The 20,194-nt window shown below is 43.8% G+C and overlaps 2 protein-coding genes across 17 annotated transcripts in view, besides 1 other annotated feature; one reads left to right on the forward strand and one right to left on the reverse strand.

Moving 5' to 3' along the window:
* The window catches only part of CTNNA2 (catenin alpha 2), a 1,463,404-nt gene that overhangs the window by 1,099,985 nt on the left and 343,225 nt on the right, over nucleotides 1–20,194 (forward strand). For 2 of the 13 annotated variants that reach the window (NM_001320810.2, NM_001282600.2), the window contains exon 1: nucleotides 19,752–19,962. The exons of the other annotated variants lie outside the window; for them this stretch is intronic. The gene's annotated coding sequence lies outside the window, so the exon portion shown is untranslated. Of the gene's footprint in view, nucleotides 1–19,751; nucleotides 19,963–20,194 lie in introns of those variants that run through there. 13 annotated transcript variants of the gene reach the window in all.
* Nucleotides 2,995–19,391, reverse strand: LRRTM1 (leucine rich repeat transmembrane neuronal 1). Of its 4 annotated transcripts, none has more exons than XM_047444146.1 (3): nucleotides 18,791–19,391; nucleotides 16,584–18,517; nucleotides 2,995–3,834 (listed from the first exon to the last, which is right to left on the reverse strand). In XM_047444146.1, exon 2 carries the CDS (start codon nucleotides 18,456–18,458, stop codon nucleotides 16,890–16,892), a length of 1,569 nt encoding a protein of 522 aa, XP_047300102.1. In that variant the 5' UTR covers nucleotides 18,459–18,517; nucleotides 18,791–19,391; the 3' UTR covers nucleotides 2,995–3,834; nucleotides 16,584–16,889. The 4 variants fall into 4 exon arrangements, with proteins under 4 accessions (XP_047300102.1, XP_016859476.1, XP_016859475.1 ...); XM_017003987.3 differs by having other exon boundaries at nucleotides 18,787–19,391; XM_017003986.3 differs by having other exon boundaries at nucleotides 18,635–19,391.
* Nucleotides 18,208–18,833: an enhancer, noted in NCBI's record as "H3K4me1 hESC enhancer chr2:80530694-80531319 (GRCh37/hg19 assembly coordinates)". NCBI's record gives its function as "activates a minimal SCP1, AML or CMV promoter by ChIP-STARR-seq in primed H9 embryonic stem cells {active_cell/tissue: H9 hESC(primed)}" and the evidence as "EXISTENCE:reporter gene assay evidence [ECO:0000049][PMID:30033119]".

Raw genomic sequence — 20,194 nt, forward strand, 5'->3', positions numbered from 1 at the left:
CTACCCACATTCTCACTGGATTATTTTAATGTCTTAATAAAAGTCAGTGTCATACTCAAATGTGTCCATCCCTGATGACAGTCAACTAACACTTTAAGATCAAGCCTGGGTGTCTTGACATTCTTACCTCAGAGTGATTTCTGTTTTCTTCCAGGGGATCCATGGAGAGGTGAATGGTCATCTTGCTTCTGGTCTTTGTACAAGGGTCATAGTCTGGGGACCAAGTCATTATTCCCAAAATGTCCCTTTATTTTGTCCCAGTGAGCCCACTGGATAAATAGATAAAACTCAGAGAAGCCAGGACTCCCAGTGGGAATGCAAATGAATGTCCCTTCAGAGATGTTCATCAGATAATCAAAGTCTGATGTAGAATTAAATGGTCTCCTGACAGATGAGCCTTCAAATATGAATTGATACAGAATACCAGCAACATTTCAGCCACTGCTATTCACATGTTGTTAGACAGGCATGACTTGTATGATAATAGTCACTGTAACGGATATAAAATTCCCTATACAACAAAGGTAAAAACATTTCACTTGCCTTTTTATTTTTTCTTTTCAAAATTGCATCTAATCCACTTGATGCTTCCTCTTACCAGGGAAATTGACTGTCAATTTCCATAAAGATTTTCTTACAGTGCCAACCCATCTTGATTATGCAGTGGTCCAGGTGGCCTAATATTGGTCCAGAACTCTCAGGAATGGTGCTCTGATCTTCAGGCCACCTGATTTCCACTTACCTGCTCATTGTCTATGTCCACATGGTCCCTTGAATGCAGGCAGAATTGCTGCTTTATGCCGTGTTTGGTTATTGAAGTCTCTTCTGTGGATAGACCCACTGGTGGCCATGACCCAGCCTCCTAAGGAGCCCTCCGTACCCATTCCCCTATGGAGTCTGCATGTCCAGCAACCTCCTTCAAGTACTTTCTTCTTTTCCCCCCGCCCCACCGTGAGATGATATTCTCCTCAGAGGGCCTTAGGAAACACTAGTCTGGACTCTGTTCTTTGTATGATGAGTGTAGGGGAAGGATATAAGAGTGGTGAGTTGTTTTCTCACTAACTCATCCTGTTATAGATAGGATACATTCCATATTGAAATGGAATAAAATTAGATTCTGGATTGTCCTGGTGATGAAGTAGCTACTTATAAAATATCAAATCATCACATGCTGTTGAGCATTTTGCTGGTGCGCTTAGCCAGTGTTTCCCTTTCATTTGCTGGGCTGCCTCCATGCTCTTTCACATCGTGGATTGTGCTCTTAGGAGACCCTTTTCTTCCATTCTGCATGTCAAATCCCACCCACCTAACTAGACACAGTGTATAGTCCACCTTCTTCATCAAGCCCTACGAAACTTCTCACACATTCCCTGAATTGAGGAAACCGTTTCCTTTTGCTGTATCATTGGAAGACTTTGCTACACCTGTGTTATAGTATTCATCCTATTCTACCTTTGGTTGTCATTATGTATGTGGATGTTGTACCCATTGTATTGGTATGTAAACCCTTTGAGAGGAGGGCTATGTTTTCTTCTTTGTGATTCATCTTCAGTCCCTAGAAACTAACTGAATTGAACTGATACAAATTAGTTGTCCCCTGACCATAAATAGTATATAACAGGACACAAAATATATAGACATGGTACATAAGTAAATTAATGATATGAACAATGAAAAGAGATGTCCTGAACAGTCCAGAGTTGATTGCTAAGGACAATGACTGTTCTAACACCTTCTGATGGTAAGAGGGAGGACCATGGTGAGCTGAGGGCGTCAAGAAAAGCCTCATAGCTGTCTTTACAACTTGAGATGGATATTGTGTCATCATGAAAATTTTACTGAGTAGAAAGAAAAGGAGAGGACAGGGAAGGCATGGAAATAGAGAGAATGATAGAAATGACTTAAGCATCTTTTGGTTATTTTGGGTACATCAGAAAGACTACCATCTTCCCCCCTCCCGTGATACCTTATGTTTTCATCAAACTTTAAAACTTAGAAACTGCTGTCACATATACTACTTTATATGATTCATCTAGTGAGGTCCATAGACTGAATTTCATTCCATTGCAAATAACATTGTAAAGGAGATTCACTGTGTATAGTCAAAATGGACTCCATTGGTAATAGATATGCTTGGTACCAAAAGTAATGATGACGAGGATGACACTGATGGTGACGATACTGACGATAGTAATAACACTTACTGAATACTCACTATGTGCCCAGCATGTGCAAAATGTTTTGCATATATTAATACTAAACCTCCCAACACCTTGAAAGTCGAATTTTTAAGCCATCTCTAGATTAATAGGGGTTGAGTCGTTTGCTCTGCATCACACAGCTGTTGTTCGGTAGAACTGGGGCTCATATTGAAGTCTATTTTATTCCAAAGTCCAGTCATTTTTCATTCCCTAGAGCCCTAACGGCTGACAAACATGACAAAGGGAAGAGCACAAGTGTCATCTCATGATATGTGCTTAACTCACACCTTCGATAGGGTACAAATGTAATCTGCATTAACCTGCTCAAAGTTCAGCACCAGGTAAAGGCATTGCATTTACTTAGTGCTTCATCTTATTTGCGAATACAGATATGTGGGCTTAGGCAATTACCTCCTTAGTTAATGACTTAATTGCCTCTTCAAGGTTTGATCTTGATACTCAAATCATCTCCCCGCTACCAACCCTATTTTTGTTGACACCTCAAAACCCATTTTTGGGCCTTTGTCCTTAGTTGCTGCCCAGGGTCCTCTGGTGATAGCATTCCAAGTGGGGGACATTCAACTGAAAGTGAGGCAAACAGTTGAAACCCCACGGCCTCCTTAACACAGGGATTGAAAACCTCCAAGCGATCACCAGAAATTTATGTTTGCTGTTAGAAAATTGCTTTGGGAAATGACGTGGATCAAAGAAGTAAATTTTATGTCAAGATTAACTTTAGTAGTGAGCAAAGCAGAATTTGGGGGGAGAAAAAAAAATATCCCTAGGTGTTTCATTACACTTGTATTAACATTCTTTAATATTTACCACACTCATACTTTTTGAGCCAAACTGTCAGTGAAGGCATTGAACTACAGAGAAGATTCAGGAATTTCTCTGGAGAGGATAACTTCAGTCTCATTTTACAAACAGAAGCTGTTTATTACAGATGTGCTTCAAACAGCTGGCAGTTGTTGAAAGAATTAAGGTGAAAAATAAAATTCCTAAAAACCCCACCACACATAAACCAGGAATCCACTGCCTCTGGACTGGCCCAGATTCTTCAGCCTGTTTCCAGAAATTGCTGTTATGCAGTCTGCACAGACGGTGGAGTGCTTGGACTAGGAAGGGAGGGGAGGAAGCTTGGCAGGGCACCAGCTTGGAGCTCGATTTTTCTTCTTTTTTATTCCCCCCACAAAGAGCTGGGCCTGGTAGAAAATAAAACAAAAACAGATCCTTTTCCTCTCTCACATCTGCTTTCATCCCAGTTCTTTGGGGTTGGTGGCCCCGGATAAACCAGTGGAGCTCAGCAGGCTGCTCGCTGCTGAATGTGTTGCTGGATTTTGCTGCAGTTCAGTGCTGCTTGGCTGTGAGGTCCAAGAACACTGTTTCTCATGGGCCGACAGATATGGGACCACAGTAGTAGCCTTTGTGTGAGGGTTCAGAAAAACAACGCGTGCACTTTTAAGATGGGAGTAATATGATGCGATAAATGGTTAATTAAGCCGAGATGGATTTCTTTCCCACCTTCTTCCAGAAGTCTCCATTTCAGCTCTTAGAAGATCTAGCAGATATATGCTGCGGATGAGAGGTCTGCTCAGAGAAGGAGGACTGGGGACTGAATCTGTTGACAGAACTGGGAAGAACCATAATATTAAAATAAATAAATAAATAAAAGGCAGTCACCTGAGGCAAGTGTCAAAGCATCTGTAGTGGCTAAGGGATCTTTGTAACTTCCCTCTTAACATTCCAGTTGCCATTGACTAACAGAGAGGGTGCTATTCTTCATCCTGTTTACTAATTATTCTGCAATATTACTTGCCCTACTAATCTCTACCCCAGTTCTCGCCTCTTTAGAGATAATTTTTATATTACTGATTTAGTGTTCTCATTAAAGAAACCTCTTAAATCCTCTTCTTAGCTTCTGCTTCTAGGAGCCAATTGCTCCTAATGCCATCCACATTTCCCCTGAGGCTATTTTTATAAACATAACATGTCACTCTACTGTGGTGATGGGGCAGGAGTGGGACTAATGCTGATTGAGAATCTACTATTGGCCAGCAATTTGGCCAACTCAATGCACATGCTCTCTGATAATCTTCCTAAAAACCAGCAAGGCAGCCACTGATATGACCATTTTACAGGTGTGGACACCCAGGTTCACAGAGTCACACTAGTGACTGTCTAAGGCCACTTAGCCCACTTGGGTCAGACTGTGTTATACGGTAGGGAAAAAAGTCAACTGACAGGAGGGACTTCTTCCTAATAAGAAGTCAAAAGTGTACTTGCCTCCCTGCTCCCTGCTACGGATGATGGAGTAATGAAGGACTTAATTCACAGCAGTGACCAAGAGCAGGAATTTAAATCCCTGTGGAGGAGAGTTTGAAGGATATGGGCCTCAAAAGTCACTGTGTGTGAGGGGCCAACCACAGAGCTTGGGTTCTCATCACTCTCCTCCCACTGCCTTAAATCTTTGCATAGGACCTCACAGTTTTTGAAGTTCTGTCACTCACATGATCTCATTTGATCCTTACCAGATCCTTGTGAAGCAGGCTGAGCAAGGATTGTTTTCTGAATTTTATAGACAAGGGAATTGAGGTACAGAAAAGTGCTGATTTATCTAAGCCAGCAAATGGCAGAAGCTCTGTCTAATTAATTCCATGCCAGATAGTTTTTTAGTACATCATGAGGCCTCCAAATAAAGACAACTCTGGGATGTGTTGAATGCAGAAGGAGCTGATAAGACAAAGTCCTTCACATGAACCTGTCCAAATAGTCTCAGTCCTGGTTTTGAATACTGAAGTACCCAAACTTCCTTGACCTTCTCATTTCTTCCCCAGTGATTACCGTGGGTAAGAAAAAAAACAGCAGAAAGTAAAAGCGTCATGAAACCTCACCATGGTGAGGTTGGTGAGGCTCCCGTGATGCTTTTACTTTTTGCTGTTTTTTTCTCCCACATGGTAATCATTATCTAGCTCAGTGTTTCCCAGCCATTTTTTTTCATTCTCCCACTGCCCCCTTGAAAATACTATTTAGACATTTTTTTTCCTAATTACTCCCCCTCCCTGAAATCTTAATACCACAGATATGTTGTATATCTTTTTATGTACTATATGTATATCTGTGGTTTACCCCAAAAATTAGTACAATTTATTTCACCCACATAAGAAACAATGTTTGCTCCCTCAGTGCCATTTTGCTCTTGTTGTGAATGCCTGGTGTAGCTCATAACTATGAATTCGGTAAAAAGAAAAGAAGGAAGGAAGGATGGAGGGAGGGAAAGAAAAAATGAAGGGAGAGTAGAAAACAAACAAACAATAAAACAAGCCAGCAATGACGTAAAACACTAAACTGACGATGTCCTCAATTTCCCAACAGCTCTAGCATTCCCTGCTAGTATAGATTCAAGTATTGAGGTTTCACTATGGCCAAAGCATTGCCAATATTTCTGTCCAAAGCTGGGACAGAGCATGCTTTAATCATTCTGTGAGTGAATCCCAAAGAACAAGGTGTGGCTTGAAACACACTCAACTTTTGGAATCTCAATTCCCTAGTTGCAAACGAGAATGTTCCCTCTGACCAAAGATAGTTTTTCCTCGTGGGATTTAGTAGATCTCTAAAGACGTTGGAGTCTTTCCCTTGGGGGAAGTTCATCGCTTTGCCTGTTGATAAGCGATAGCAAAGGAGAATGCATAGAAAGTTACTCTTACTTTTATTTTCTCCTCCTTAACTTCATACCCTGCCTAACAAATTGGAGAACTAGAAGGAAAGCCAGAATTCACCACTACAGACCTAAGAAAGAAAGGTCTGGACAGGTGGAACCAACTTGCTCAAGGGCCAGGAGCAAATTAGTGTCAAAGCTGGGACATGGAGTTTGTCTCTTGATACAGGACCTCCTCTGCCAGAAGAAAGGGTCAACCTCAGATGTGTACTTCATCATTTGTTAAATTTCCTTGAGCAGCATCCAACTATGGCTGTGATTACACAAAGAAAAAGCTTCTTTAAATAAACACCAGCAAATCTGCTTCAGCTGAAGATGTATGCTTAGTGTCCCAGGGGCCAGTATGATTTAATATTGCCAATATTAAATAAGAGTTTGGGGCTTGGATAACAATTGCAAGCTGGGTAGCAGTTTTTCACCTCCAGGAATTGACTATAGATAGCAAACAGCTCAGATGTGGAAACAGTTTTTCCACATCACCAGAAGGCCCTTGTAGCTGGCTGCTAGCCTTCAGCTCCTATGAAAACTGGAAGATGTGTGTGCACATGGCCACGTGTATTCCAGGATCAGGTTCACCAGGGCTGCCAGACCACAGTGGTAAAGGCAAGCCACTAAAGAACCAGAACAAAGTCAGTGAGTGGTGTATGGGCTAAGGCCTGGCCAGTTAGAAAGCTGGGAAGGAAGCCATGTGTAGTCTTTGCAACTCCAGACTTCACTGCCTCCATATCCCTCTTTTAGGCCCAGTGCTTTCAGGAATTCAGGTTTTTGAGTCTCATCCTATCACAGAAGAAAATGGTGACAGCCTAGCTTTGCAGGATGACAATCCTGGTTACACCCTGATTCAACCCCTTCCTGGCTATGTGACCTTGTTTTGTTCATCTTTTATTTAGAAAACACTTATCTAGTACTTGCCACATGCCAGACACCATTCTAAGCACTTTATAAGGAATAACTCTTTCATTCTCAGTAACAATGGGCTTAATTCTTATAACAACCCTATGTCCATTTTATAGATGAAGGAACTGAGGATCAGAAAGGTTAATTGCCTTGCCAAAGTCACTCAGCCAGAATTTGAACCCAAGGAATGTGTCTCCCTTGACACATCCTACCATGGTAAGTGACCTTGGGCAAGTTGTTGACCCACCCCAACCTCAGTTTACCTGTTTGTAAAGGGAGGATGCTAATACTACTCTGAACGAGGAGGGATGAAGGCTTTTTGCAGGGCTTAAATGAGAAAATCTTAAGGATTTTGCAGGTTGCCAGGCACCTAGCAAGTAAAATATATGATTAACACTCCTATAGGTGGAGGTCATGTTTCATAAATGGATCAAGAAGAAGTGGAGGCCTCTTCTGCATACTCTCATGGTGAGTCTGATAGGCCTATGCCAGCATAGTCCTCTTGAGAATGCCTCACCTTCGCAGGTGCAATCATTTATAAGTTAAATGGTTCTATTGTTCACTCCACAAATGTTGACTTAAGCTCTGAACAAGAAATGTTGTGCTACTTTGATTGAATGAGTTGAGCAATATAATCGGAAGTTAAAAGCATCTGAGTGATATGTTATGTTTAGTGGCATTTCAGTTATAATGTGGTTTCTCCTTTTCTTTCCTACAGCATGTTTGCTCTTTTTTTTGTACCTTTATGATTTTTGAAATAATATGCAAAAAAGATCAGTATGAAACACTCAGACAAAAAATGGCCTGGACAGCAAAGCAGTGCTGCTGCATTCTGAAAAGTCCCATTATTTTTAAAATAAAAATTTAATAAAATAAAAGAAACACAGTCTCAGTTTCAGGGAAATATAGATTTCACCATAAATGCAATCACTATGGAGCAGAGACAGTGAGGCAAAATAACAGAGTGAGTGGTTGTTCTGCAGCTGAGGGACAAATGACAGAATTGCCTTGGCCAGCTGAAGACAGATTGTTGCATTGTTCCATTAATTGTGTGTAACTTGGCTTTTCCAGACCTTTCTGTGGCAGACTAATCCAGCTCTGTGTGCTGCTGAGCCATCTCACTTATACTGAAGGCTGCCTACAATATCTCTAAGATAGAGAGCCCTGCTACACATAGTTTGCAATATTGAGAGTTCTTCACTGAGGATAAATATGCTGATGGTGAACACCTAAAAATATGTGATTTTTAAAGAGGACTTTGGTTTAAGGAGGTAAAATATGACAGAAGATCCAATCTTTATCCTGGCTTTACTTTAAGCCCCATAAACTGTTGACTAATCTGCTCTTGTAAGAGAGCATTCACTTGTGTTGTTTCATTTAAGGGGAACAAGGTGGGATGTCCTGGCCAAATGTATGCTACCCGTCTGTTTAAGTGCCTGAAATTCCAGCATTAGAGTGATTTCCTTTGGTTATTTCCCCCAAAGATCCTTGTTTAAGTTGCAAAAATCCCCGGAGTAGAATTATCACCACTCCACCGATCAGTGTCCTACTAGGATTTATGTTTACATTCTTGGAAGAGCTGGTGGCAAATCTGCGGATGCAGTGGACTGAGTGGAAAGGGAATATTTTGGTGTTAGGGGTATTTGGAAAGAATTGATGCCTATTTGGTTGTCTCTTGGGTGTCGTGGAGTCTCCTTTGGCAAAGAAAAGAGTGTCAGGCTTGGGATTGGGGTGGAGACACAGAGGGGCAGTGGTGAAACTATGATGTCAAACTTTGTAACTGCAGGACTTCAGTGGGAGGAGGTGTAGGAGCCTGTGTGCAATGGGTTTTCCAGGAATCCTCCTAAAGAAGTTATTGATTTGTATATTTTGAGCAGGACTAGCTTTACCTCATAATGACACAACCAATCAGAGAAGGAAAGGAAGGTGGTAGCGGGAGAAGGACTCAGAATTTAGAAGAGACATTTCTCAGTGCCAGCCCAGCAGTAACAATGACCTTGGGCAAGCTACTGAACCTTTTCAGATTTGAGTCTTCTTGCCTTAAAAATGGGACAAGTTTATGTCTGCCTTGTGAAATTATTGGGAGAGTAAAAACAAATATAAGAATAATTCTAAACAGCGCTTTGTAAACTAGAGTGCTCAGAGACTAATTCTAAGTACACCGATGCTTGCACGTCTTTCTTCTATCAGTGCCACCAGATGGAGTCAATGGCAGGAGGTGGGAAGGTGACTCCCTTCTCCCTGCCATGTAGCCCACGTAACCTGACCCCATGGAGCCCTGACCCCATGGAGCCCTGACCCCATGGAGCCCAGGCACCAGCCAACCATGTCTTTTTAAAGAGCTGCAGTCAGACTTTTGGATCTTGTAGATTGCTGAGTTGTCCATGCTGTGAGTAGGCAACCCGCTAGCTCAGTGCTTCTCAGCCTTAGCTGAACTATGGAATCACCTGGGAAGCTTAAAAAAAATAATAATAATAATAAAAATAATTCTCCTCACCAAGGCCACACCCCAGACCAGTTAACTCACAATCTGTTGAGGGTGGGGTCCAGGAGTCAGTATTTATTGAGGCTCCCAAGTGGTTCCAGTGTGCAGCCAGGGTTGACAAGCACTCTGCTAGCTGAGCAATAGAGAAATAAGATGCAGCTAGAGAACGAATTCCTTCTTCTCATAACACGAGGGAAAATAACTTTACAACATTACATTGAGAACAGACAAATAGCTAACCTGGTGGACCAGAATAAAGAAATGATTGAAAAGGATTGAGGAGTCAGTGTAATCACAGCTACTTATGTTAACTTGAGTAGCATAAAACACAGATCTTGAAACTCTCTCCTCTTCCTCTCTTTTTCTTTTTTCTTTCTGTTTTGTTTTGTTCTCTCTTCTCCTCTCATCTCCTTCTCCCACCTTGCCTTTTTTTCTTCTCAATCTCTCTTTCTCTCTCTTTCCCTCCCATCCCATACCCCATTTTACTAGAAAGGTCTCTCAATTCCTAATATCCATTGTGGCCACTTACAATGTAGTATGTCATTTTGAGAGTCCTGAACAAATTTTTTTTTTTTTTGTGGGTAGGGGGCTACCTCACACCACATCCCTGTGTCTCAGGTCTCATGTGCGGGTGAGTGTGTGTGTCCTCTCTAGGATTCCCTTTCATCTCTTCTGCACATTCTAAAAACCCAATTCTCCCACCCATACATGCCTGAGCTTTCTCATCTTCTCCTCTGTTTTCCAGCATGTCCACCTACCTCTCTGAAGCCCCTGACTCTCAGTGAATTTTTTTTTAACCTATATCTGCTCATTAATATTCAGGCAAGCCTGATGAATCAGAATGTCTGGAGGAATAGGAATTCAGGGGAATTTTAATTTTCTGGTTAAGTGACACTCTCTTGAAAACCACTTTTGTTTCAAGTTTTATTGTGGGGAAAAAATGGTAAAATAGAAGCCCCAAACTGGAAAGGTTCTTAGGGAATACCTAGAAGAATCCTTCTAAAAGTAGACACAGAGACCAATTGCAGTAAGATGATTAACAGATGATCCCAGGCATGTAAATGACAGTACTATGTCTAAAGATGATAACTCCTGACTTCTAGACCCTATTTCTTCCAGAGCGCTTACTTGACCTGCCCTGCAGAAATGTTATGATTAACCAGAACCAAATGTGAATTATATTCTTTTAAGTGAATTCTCTAGTTCCTTATAATTTCATCTGCCCATGAACCTCACTCATCTGTGTTGCCTGTCTGTCCCCAGATGAATTTCAGTTTGCAGTTCTTGTATCTCTAGACTATCCTGTTTCTAAGGACTGAGATCATTTCCCTAAATATGTGCACCCTACTCACCAGACTGAGCACATTGATTTTTTTCTAGCTTATTTTTTTTTAGTTTTTTACGATTATTGCGGGTACATAGTAGATGCATAAATTTATGGGGTACATGAGATATTTTGATAGAGGCATGCAATGTGTAACAATTGCATCATGGAAAATGAGGTATCTATCACCTCAAGCATTTATTTTTTTAGCACACTGATTTTTAAAATAGAGGTTCATCACCACCTCACATACATTACAGTTTTGGTTGGGGAAGAAGAAGGCACAGGCTGGTGGGTTGGATTTGTTCAGACTGCAGAACCCCTCCTGGAAGGAATATCAAGTTTCTCATTTTCCTTCTTGTTAATTAAATCTCCACTGTTAACTTGATTTTTTTTTCCTGTTTCCTAAATGAGGTATTGCTAAAGAAAAAGTGGGTCAATTGAGGGTTCTGACTAGTTTTGTCCTAGTTAATTTAAGTTTTGCCATATGTTCTTTGAGAAGCATGTGTTAACTATGTGTTAACTTTTGCTGATTATCAGTGAACCTAAGGGCTTTTAATTTAGATTTCCAGTTACCTGGCAAGAGAAAGACTTAAAAGGAATAAGTCTAGGTAAATCTAAAACTAACTCAGAAGTAAGACCATTCCTTGTAAAGCTGAAGCACAGCATGATGCTTTAGATAGCACCATTACTTTCTGTCGTGGAGCAGGGTTTTTCAACTTCAGCACTCTTGACATTTTAGGTCAAATAATTATTTGATGTGGGGGATGTCCTTTGCTTGTAGGATGTTTCACAGTATCCAGACATCTACCTACTGGATACCAGTAGCACCATCTCACCCATGCATAAAAATTTTAACTGTCTCCAGACACAAACAAGTAAATGTCTACTGGGTGGCAAATTTGCCCCTGGTTGAGAACCAGTACCATAGACACATGATCCATTTAATCACTAAGGAAGAAATGCAGATAAATCCCTGACAATAACATATGGATGTCTCTACTTTACTCTCTCTGAGTCTAAAATCCTATTTTAAGGGGTCGGACTGAATGTACTGGCCATTTCTTCTCCTGGAACCCCGGAGAAGTCTCCTCTATTGGCAGAGTCCTGCATTGCCCAATTACCAGTGACCAGAGCAAACAAGTCATGGTCAGAATTCCTGGATTTCACCACTGTGCCCATGGCATTCAACAAGAATGTGTTGAGCATGTATCCTGTTCCCAGTCTAGTTCTAGGCTCTTTGTTAGGTGTAGGAGTGGAGGGGCAACCATTCAAGGAATAAAGAAACAGTGTGTAGTGAAAAGGCCACCAAGTCAATTAGCACATCCCAGTGCTTCCAATCACTAGCTGGGTGACTTTGCACAATGTACCTGACTTCTGTAAGCCTCAGGTTCTTCATGTGAAGATAAGGTTGCTAGCACCTCCCTCACTTATTGTGATCTAGATAAAGGCACCATACCAGCGACTGCTCAGTAAATTGTATTTCTCCATCTCATTTATATCTTTGTCTAAATTGTAAGAATGCAATTGCCAGGCCCTTCACTTTGAGTAAAAAAAGCAAAAGTCTTCAGAAATTGTGTCCAGTTGAGCAAGGCCAGGAGATGGTGCCCAATCAGAAGTAAGAATTTTGCCTCCTGAATCCCAGAAAAACAAAAAAATCAGAGTAGAGCATACTTTAATGGAAAAATACTGAGGTGGAAAATACTCTCAAAAAATATATTCCCATTTGCTGGCTCTTCCCACTAGACAGCAGGTTACACTCTGCTGTGGCATAAGGAGCCCAGAAGTTCCCCAGCCTGCAAAGCGTCTACCTACTCATTAACTAATGCCTGAAAATACCATCAGCCATATCAGTCATTTATATCTTAACTGTCACTGATTTTATCAGATCCTTTCCTGAATAAAAGTTTGATTATGAAGAAGAAAGTATTAGGATGATTAGTGCTAGAAGGTAGTTACATAATGGTCACCTGCCTGCGCGTGTATGGGTGTGTGTGTGTGGTTATATATGTGTGTGTGTGTGGTACTATGTGGTTTTATATATTATATATTATATATATATATACACACACACACATGTGTGCATATTTGTGTGTGTGCTGTTATATATACAGAGATAGATTGAGAGGTAGGAGTGTGTGTGTATATTTCAGAAGCACATTTAATGGTCATATTCTAGCTAATTCCTTTTTTTTGACATTCTAAACCTATCTCAAAATATATTTCAGAAGCACATTTAATGGTCATATTCTAGCTAATTCCTTTTTATTTGACATTCTGTCAATGGCAGACCCAAATCAGCCAACATCGCCACTCATCTAGAGGAGATAATTTATGTTTATTTTGACTACCCTGAAACATTATGACACTCTTGCTCCAAAACAGATATAATTTCTGGTTCTTTGATAATTTTCTCTGTGAGAGGGGTATGTGATGATGTTCCTTCTACCATCTCATGTGATCCATCAATGCCCTGTTCTACTGGGCCATGTCAGATAGACTAGGCATCAAACTTGCTGACAAGTCGACTAAAATAAGCCGGAAACACAAGTGGCCCCTAATCCTACCAGAGATCTGTGTGTACTTGCTTGGAAAACTTGGGAGGAATAACAAGTGGCATTTGCCCCTCTGATTACTTACATATACTCATAAATGTGTTGTTGATGCTAAATCATACCAAATGTCTGCCTTCTTGAAGGCAGAGAGAAAAGGTTGGGGGCTCTTCTACTTTGATGAGTTCAGAAGAATATTTTTAAATGGTTGAGAAAACTATTTCCTTTTACTGGAATAACCTTTCCTTTGCGATGGTAACTTTGTAGTCTTGGGAGTATAGGCTGCATTGTGGGTAGGTGGTCTCAACTATTAATATCAAGGCTAAGATCTGAGCATCAGGGACTGCCTATTTTTTCTGAGTGCAGCAGAGGACAGGTCTCATTTAACCTGCTTCCTCTGGTCCAACCTAAAAAACTACTAGGGCTAAGACTGGTGTGAGAGTGTCATTTGTCATGTGAAAAGACTTTTTTTCTATATAAATATTCGAAAAACCTCAATACCACTGCTGAACTTTAATCAGCTGGGAAGGTACTGCAAATGGAGGGTCAATCCATCACAATGCCCAGGACGAGACGTGAATTGTGGCCTTAAGTTCTTTTCAGATAGCACAGCATAATGAGATTAGCACCCTCTGTGGGAAGAATAAAAAAAAGGTGCTACACCTTTAAAAATTAGATTCTCTTTTAAATGCTTAGTAGTTTGCTTAGAGGGGTCAGAGCAAGTTTCTTGAAGCTTAAAGATTAATTAATTTGAGAAAGAAAAGATTTCAAGTGTTACAAAACCTTAGTTAAAACTACCACTTTCCCTTATTCCTGCCGTTTCCCCCCACCTCCCCCCACCAATCTCCAGAGCTAGAGGCACAGGGGCATGAAATGATGTGAGCTAAATTCCCGTTTGTGTAGACAACGTTTGCTTGCCTACAAAGACACACAACGCAGAAACATACAGACACACACACAAAGTAAGAACATAGCTTTCTATGGTCATCATTTGCTCTTAAGCTCCCAGATTGCAGATTCCTCTTTCCAATGGTTCTTCATGAAATGCGTATGGACTTAAGATCTTCTACATACATGATGTTTAATCATGGGCAGGGTGGGAGGAGTAGCATAAAACAAAGCACGATTATTCTCTCTCTGTCTTATGGCCACCTTGAAACAAGAAGAGTGAAAGATAAAAATGTCTTGGGGATAGGAGATAAACTACAGTTTCCAATATTCAGATTTCTAGAGGGTAGGAGGGGACTTGTGGTTCTGATGCTTGCCAGAAAGGTTTTGCTTCTGAAAGCTTTCCCTGTAAGCACACCCACACAGCTCTTTAATGCACCAAGCCAAAGCAGCTTTGGGCGCTGGATTCCTGTAGCCTTCCTATGAGATGGTTAAGTTCACGGAATCCAAGGAGCCCTCCTTCAGTTGCTACATTTTTTGTTTTCTAAAAAAGGTATGCCGTCTTCTAGAGGAGGTCGCTTTAGTAGGGTTTTAGGTAAGGCACATCCCTGAGAGAATCTTTTTCCTGCTACCCCTGCTCTTGGAGTGGTATGCTATTTAGAAAGGCAAACCCAAATGATTATGCTTAAATTCAAAACCCCCTCCTCAAAGTTATCAAACAAAGCACCTCTCTTCTAGAACACTAATAGTCTGAATGGGTGTCATGTGCATGATGTGTGTCATAATGTCATGTTTTAATTATAAATAAAGCAAGATGAAGTTTCCTGGCCAGGAAAAATGAGCTGGGGTGTTGGGGTGTGTGTGTGTGTGTGTGTGTGTGTGTGTGTGTGTGTGTGTGTGTGTGTGTAAGAAGCTGTCTCCCAGGGCTTAACATCTTAAAAGACATTTGCAAAATATTTCTCTTGAAAGAGACTCTTAGAAATACTATTTTTAGGCATACTGGTTTCTCCATAGGTAAAAGAGAAACCTACCACCAACCCTTAGCTTAAGGAAACCTTCTGGTGATACCATTCTGCATTTCAAAAAGCTGATTTTGCCTCCTAAGATTGGTAGCTGGAGACATTTGCATGTTGGGGGATGGTAGTGTGTGGTTCCCCATCCCCCCATTCCCTCTTCCTGCTATTTGGACTTCTCTCTCTCAAAAAAAAGGAAAAATAAAAACAGAAAGATGCAACTCTTTAGTGTCCGTTAGAGAGGGAAGAGAAAGACTTAGGGACATGGGCTACATTGGTTCAGCATCTGTCATCCATGACAGTTTATTTCAATCATACATTTGCTTAAATTGTCATCTGATGAAGGAGCCCTCCGTCCAATGCACACAGCCTTCCCCTTCCCTTCTCTGCACCCACCAACTGCCACTACCACCACCTCCTCACTCTTTAGTTCAATAGAAACTGAAATCTCAATGATGGACCTGGAAACCTATGAGGGGTGAGAAGGAGCAATCATCACTCTCAACACAGAAAAAAAAAAAAGGGAAAGCAAGCATTACACAAAAGGGCCATCTGAGAAGAGGCAGCTTTTCTGTCCTGGGTTAACAAATTATTCCCATCTCAGAAATATGCAAACACAGGATCAAATGAGTATCTTCTCCCACTCTCCCCACCCCATCACTGCTCTGTCACCTCTGCCCCTAAAGTCTCTTGCTACAAGTCATTACCCTGCAGGCATTCATCCTAAGGTAGGTTTTTCTCCTCATTCCCCATAGAAACTAGGAATGTGCTGTCACTGTTTGGGAGCCTAAGCTTGCTGCAGTCTTAGCAATGTGCTCCAGAAGCACAGCTTTCAGCCCTAAACATCGGGATTCTGCCTCCTTCCCCTCAGCCAGACCAAAGAGAGCAGTGAGCTGAGGGGCTCCCTTTAACAGGGGGTACAAGAAGGGCACAAATGCTACTAAGTCTGGTGAATCAAAGACTCAGGAGAATTAAGAACAGGTGGCATTTGGGGATGAGATTTTGAGGTGATTTGAAAGATGGTTACATTAAGTGCAAAAATGTTTCGTGTTCCTAGGAGAAACTGTCTGGCATTGCTTTTTAAAAACCATTTGCAATGCTCTCTGCTTTAAAGGCTGAGTAAGGGTGCCCAGTCCTCAGTCCACCTCTCAGTTGCCTGAAGGTGGTTAGATTGCACTGTCCCTGCCCCAGTAATATAAAGGGTCTTGCAGTTTTTCTTTTTCTAGTCCTTACACATGTGGAGTAAATTAACATAAATCATTAATCTGATAAGCTTTCTTTGCCCTTCTTTAAAATTTCAAATTGAATCTGACTACGTTGCTCCTGGATTTTCCTTCTGGCCCCTGGACAACTCCCTCCCCACCCACCAAGGAAATTTTAACTGTTGCTTTTCTTGTAACACAGGTAACAATTCATTTAGGTTACACCAGTCTGTAAAAACTGTAAATGCTATTTTATTTTAAACATTTTAGTTTACAAAAAAAAAAAAAATCAATGATTGGTACCTTTTTTACACTCTCAGATTCCTGAATATGGACAGATCTTCAAAGGGAGGAAGGAGTTCTCATATGAAATTTAAGATAGACTGTCCTGAAGGTTGTGGGGTGGGGTTTTTTGTTGTGTTTTAATTCGCTTTTGTTTTTAAGACACAATAAAGCTAAAATGTCAAGTCTCTGGGAGAGATCCCCTTAAAGTTTCAGTCAAGGAGCATATCAGAGCACAGACAAGGAGACCCCAGCCTGGTGCCCGCCGGCCCGTCCCGGCTGCCCAGGCGTATTTGGTAGCGCATGGGTTGAGAGCCACTGGGACAATCACACCTCGCATTCCCTCGCGGGCTGCTGGTGGCAGGTACACGAGCCATACTCGTTGATGATCACCAGGGCTCCCTCAATGTGGTTCGGTTTGTAATCAACGTAGTATTCCTGGGCAGACATGGCAGCCATCTGATGCATGGTCTGTTTCTGCTTTTGCTTCCTGCGCTGCGTGACAAAGCACTGTCTGAGCTGCCTGAGGCTGGCTGGGAAACACTTCCAGGACACGTAGAGCACCAGGACCACGATGAGGAAGGAGAAGATGAGGGCCATGGTGCCCGTGACCACCTTGTGGATCTGCACGGCGTTCTCGGCGTGCTCGCCGCCTGGAAGAGCCACGGTGGCAGGCTCGAATGTGCCGTCGTGCTGCCCCTCCCCGCCGTCCGCGAGCGTGGTGGCCGAGCTGGCAGGGGGCCCCAGATCACTGCGGTTGGTGACGGCCGAGAGCAGGTGGCCGCTGGTGGGCTCGGCCCCATCCTCGCACAGGTGGAAGGCGTACACGGCGTCCAGGACGTCCTCGCCCTGTGCGTACTCCGGGCTGGCGCACTGCAAGTTGCCATCGTAGCGCCCCTGGAAGTTGTTGAGCCACGAGGCTAGGGCACACACGTTGCGCCCGCAATCCCACAGGTTCCCGGCCAGGGTGATGCTTGTCAGGGACTTCCAAGAGTTGAGGATCCGGGGCTCGATGTAGGTGAGGCGGTTGGAGTCCAGCTGCAGGGACTGCAGGTGCGGCACGGTCTCGAACACATGGGGCTCCATGTACTCGATCTCGTTGCCCGACAAGTCCATTTTCTCCAGGTTCCAAACCCAGTCCAGCGAGCTGACCACAATGGCCACCTTGTTCCTCCGCAGGCAGAGCGAGTGCAGGGAGATGAGGCGCGGGAAGTGGGCGAAGTTCACCTTGACCAAGTCGTTGTGCTCGAGGTGCAGCTCGGTGAGCTTAAACAAGCCGGCGAAAGAGTTGCGCGCCAGACTCTTGAGCTGATTGTATCCGATGTCGAGAAACTTGAGGCTGCGGCAGTCCTGGAAGATGCGCACGGGCACAAACTGGATGGCGTTGGCCCGCATATGCAGCGTGGTGAGCTTCCGCAGCCCGTGGAAGAGGTCGGGCGCGAGCGCCTGCAGCTTGTTGTACGAGAGGTCCACGCTGCGCAGGTTGGGCATGGGCCGGAAGGTGGTGTTGGGCAGTTGGGTGATCTGGTTGGAACTCAGCGTGAGTTCCTTAACTCGGCGCAGTTTCTGAAAGGCGTCCCCCTGCACGGAGCAGATGTGATTGTGATCCAGATAGAGCCACGTGAGCTGCATTAACCCCGTGAACTGGCCGGCGCGCAGCTCCGAGAGGCTGTTGTAGCGCAGGGACAAGCCCAGCAGGCCGGACAGGTTGTGGGGCGCCTCGGTGAGGTTGAGCGCCTCGCAGTACAGCAGCCGCCCCTCGCACCGGCACAGCTGCGGGCACCCGCTGGGGGCGGCGGGCAGCATCTGAAAGCAGGCCCCCAGCAGACACAAGACCACCCCCGAGGGCCTCCTCAGCAGCCAGTATAGACAGAGACCGAGCAGCAGGAAATCCATTAGCGAGAATCTTTCCAGAGAGACTGGAGAATGTCCATTGGAAGCGCTCGGTCAGAAATCTACATCATATTTTATTCCGAGGGAGGGGAAGCGGGGGAGGGGGAGAAAAGGGCAAAAAATCAAATAAATACATAGAAATAAAGAAGGACCCCCCTCCCCAAAAACCACACGTTCACCTCTAAGCATGCAGAAAGCTGGGCAGCATAGAAAGTTCACAGCCACGGAAAGATCAAAGAGATGGTGATTTGGTCCATGTTAGATGCTGCAGCAAAGAAAAGGGAGGAAAAAAAAAATCTTCGGGAAAGAATTTAATTAAAAAGTGTCTTACCCACCCTTTTCCAGAGAGTGACAACCTCCATTCAGCTGCTCCCTTTGTGTGCAGGCTAATTATATGCAGGGCGAGAGAAGACCCCTCTGTGTTTCCGAGGCAGCCCCGGTCCGCGGCCGGCGGATCTGGCAGGCGCACAATGTCTCACTTTGCTGCTCGGCTCGGGGCTGCAAGGGCGGCCGGCAAGGCGGGGAGGCGACTTCTAGGACCCGCAAGTTTCCCAACTACGTGCCGGAGCCCGAGCTTCGCCTTCCTGCCGCCTTCCTTTCCCTCTGCAGTTCGGACTGTGACGTTGTGGGGGGAAAAAACTCCAAACTCGGGGCTCGCGACTCCCCAGGATCTGACAGTCTGGTTAATGTCCGTCATTGGAAACGACCACTGACCGGCGCCACCTTTTACTCCGCGGAAACAGCCTGCCATTCGCGCCCCGGGCAGCTGCAGAGAGCGGGCTCACTCATGCTTTGCGGGCGGCGGGCGGCGGGCGGCGGGCGGTGGGGAGGTGCGGACGGCGGCGCGGGGAGCGGCGAGCGGCGCCCGGGCTCCTTCCCTCCACCAGGCAGTGTGCGGCGCGAGCTTGCACAGGCACCTACTGCTCACTGAGTGTCGTAAGCTGCTCACGATTGTGCGTCTTCCCCGAGCACCTCAGACATGGGCAGATTGAAAAGGGGTGGGCATAAAACCAACATTTTACCGAACCACTAAAGTAATATATGTTTTTTGATGAAACGGAAAACACTTTCAGCTTTTTTGTCCATATTTCAAAAAAAAAAAAAAAAAAAAAAAGGAGGGGGGAGGGAGGTGGAGGTAGGGGTAGCATCATCCACGACAAGATATTTCCAAGTGGGAAACTGAAATGTTCTGTGCTCTCCCCCTTGCCTTTTGGGGATATATTCTTTTCCCCTTTAAAACTGTCTACGTGTAAGAGATACGTAGGAATCTGTAGAGAAATCAACGTTTGGACCTTTGCTTTAGAAAAGCAACTTGAGAGAAGACACAGGAAGGCAATGATTTGGGGCTTGGCTAAGATTTTTGGGGTTTTTTCCCCCTCTTGCGGGTACTGGAATTCTGCAGTCAGCCAGCCCTTTTTTGAGGTGGAGAGGGGAAATGCTTTCCAAACCCACCTAGTTTGGGAAGCCATCCAAGTCCCGGTGGTGTGAGATCCAGTGTGGCAAAAAGGTATGTCTGTGTGCAGGGAGACTTGACTGAGATCCCTCCGGGGCTTCATCAGGCTCCACAGATACATATGGGGTACAGAGTGGATTAAAGAACGATTGTACTGTCTGACATGGGGAGGGCTTACCCTGACTTGTGCTGTTCATGGTGATTACTGGGCCCTGCAGTGCACCCCACTCCAAGAGAGTGTGAATGTGTAGGGACGTGATAGTTTAAGCCATAATGAAGCCTACCC

The sequence above is a fragment of the Homo sapiens genome, chromosome 2 (genome assembly GCF_000001405.40).
Source record: "Homo sapiens chromosome 2, GRCh38.p14 Primary Assembly".
NCBI lineage: Eukaryota > Metazoa > Chordata > Mammalia > Primates > Hominidae > Homo > Homo sapiens.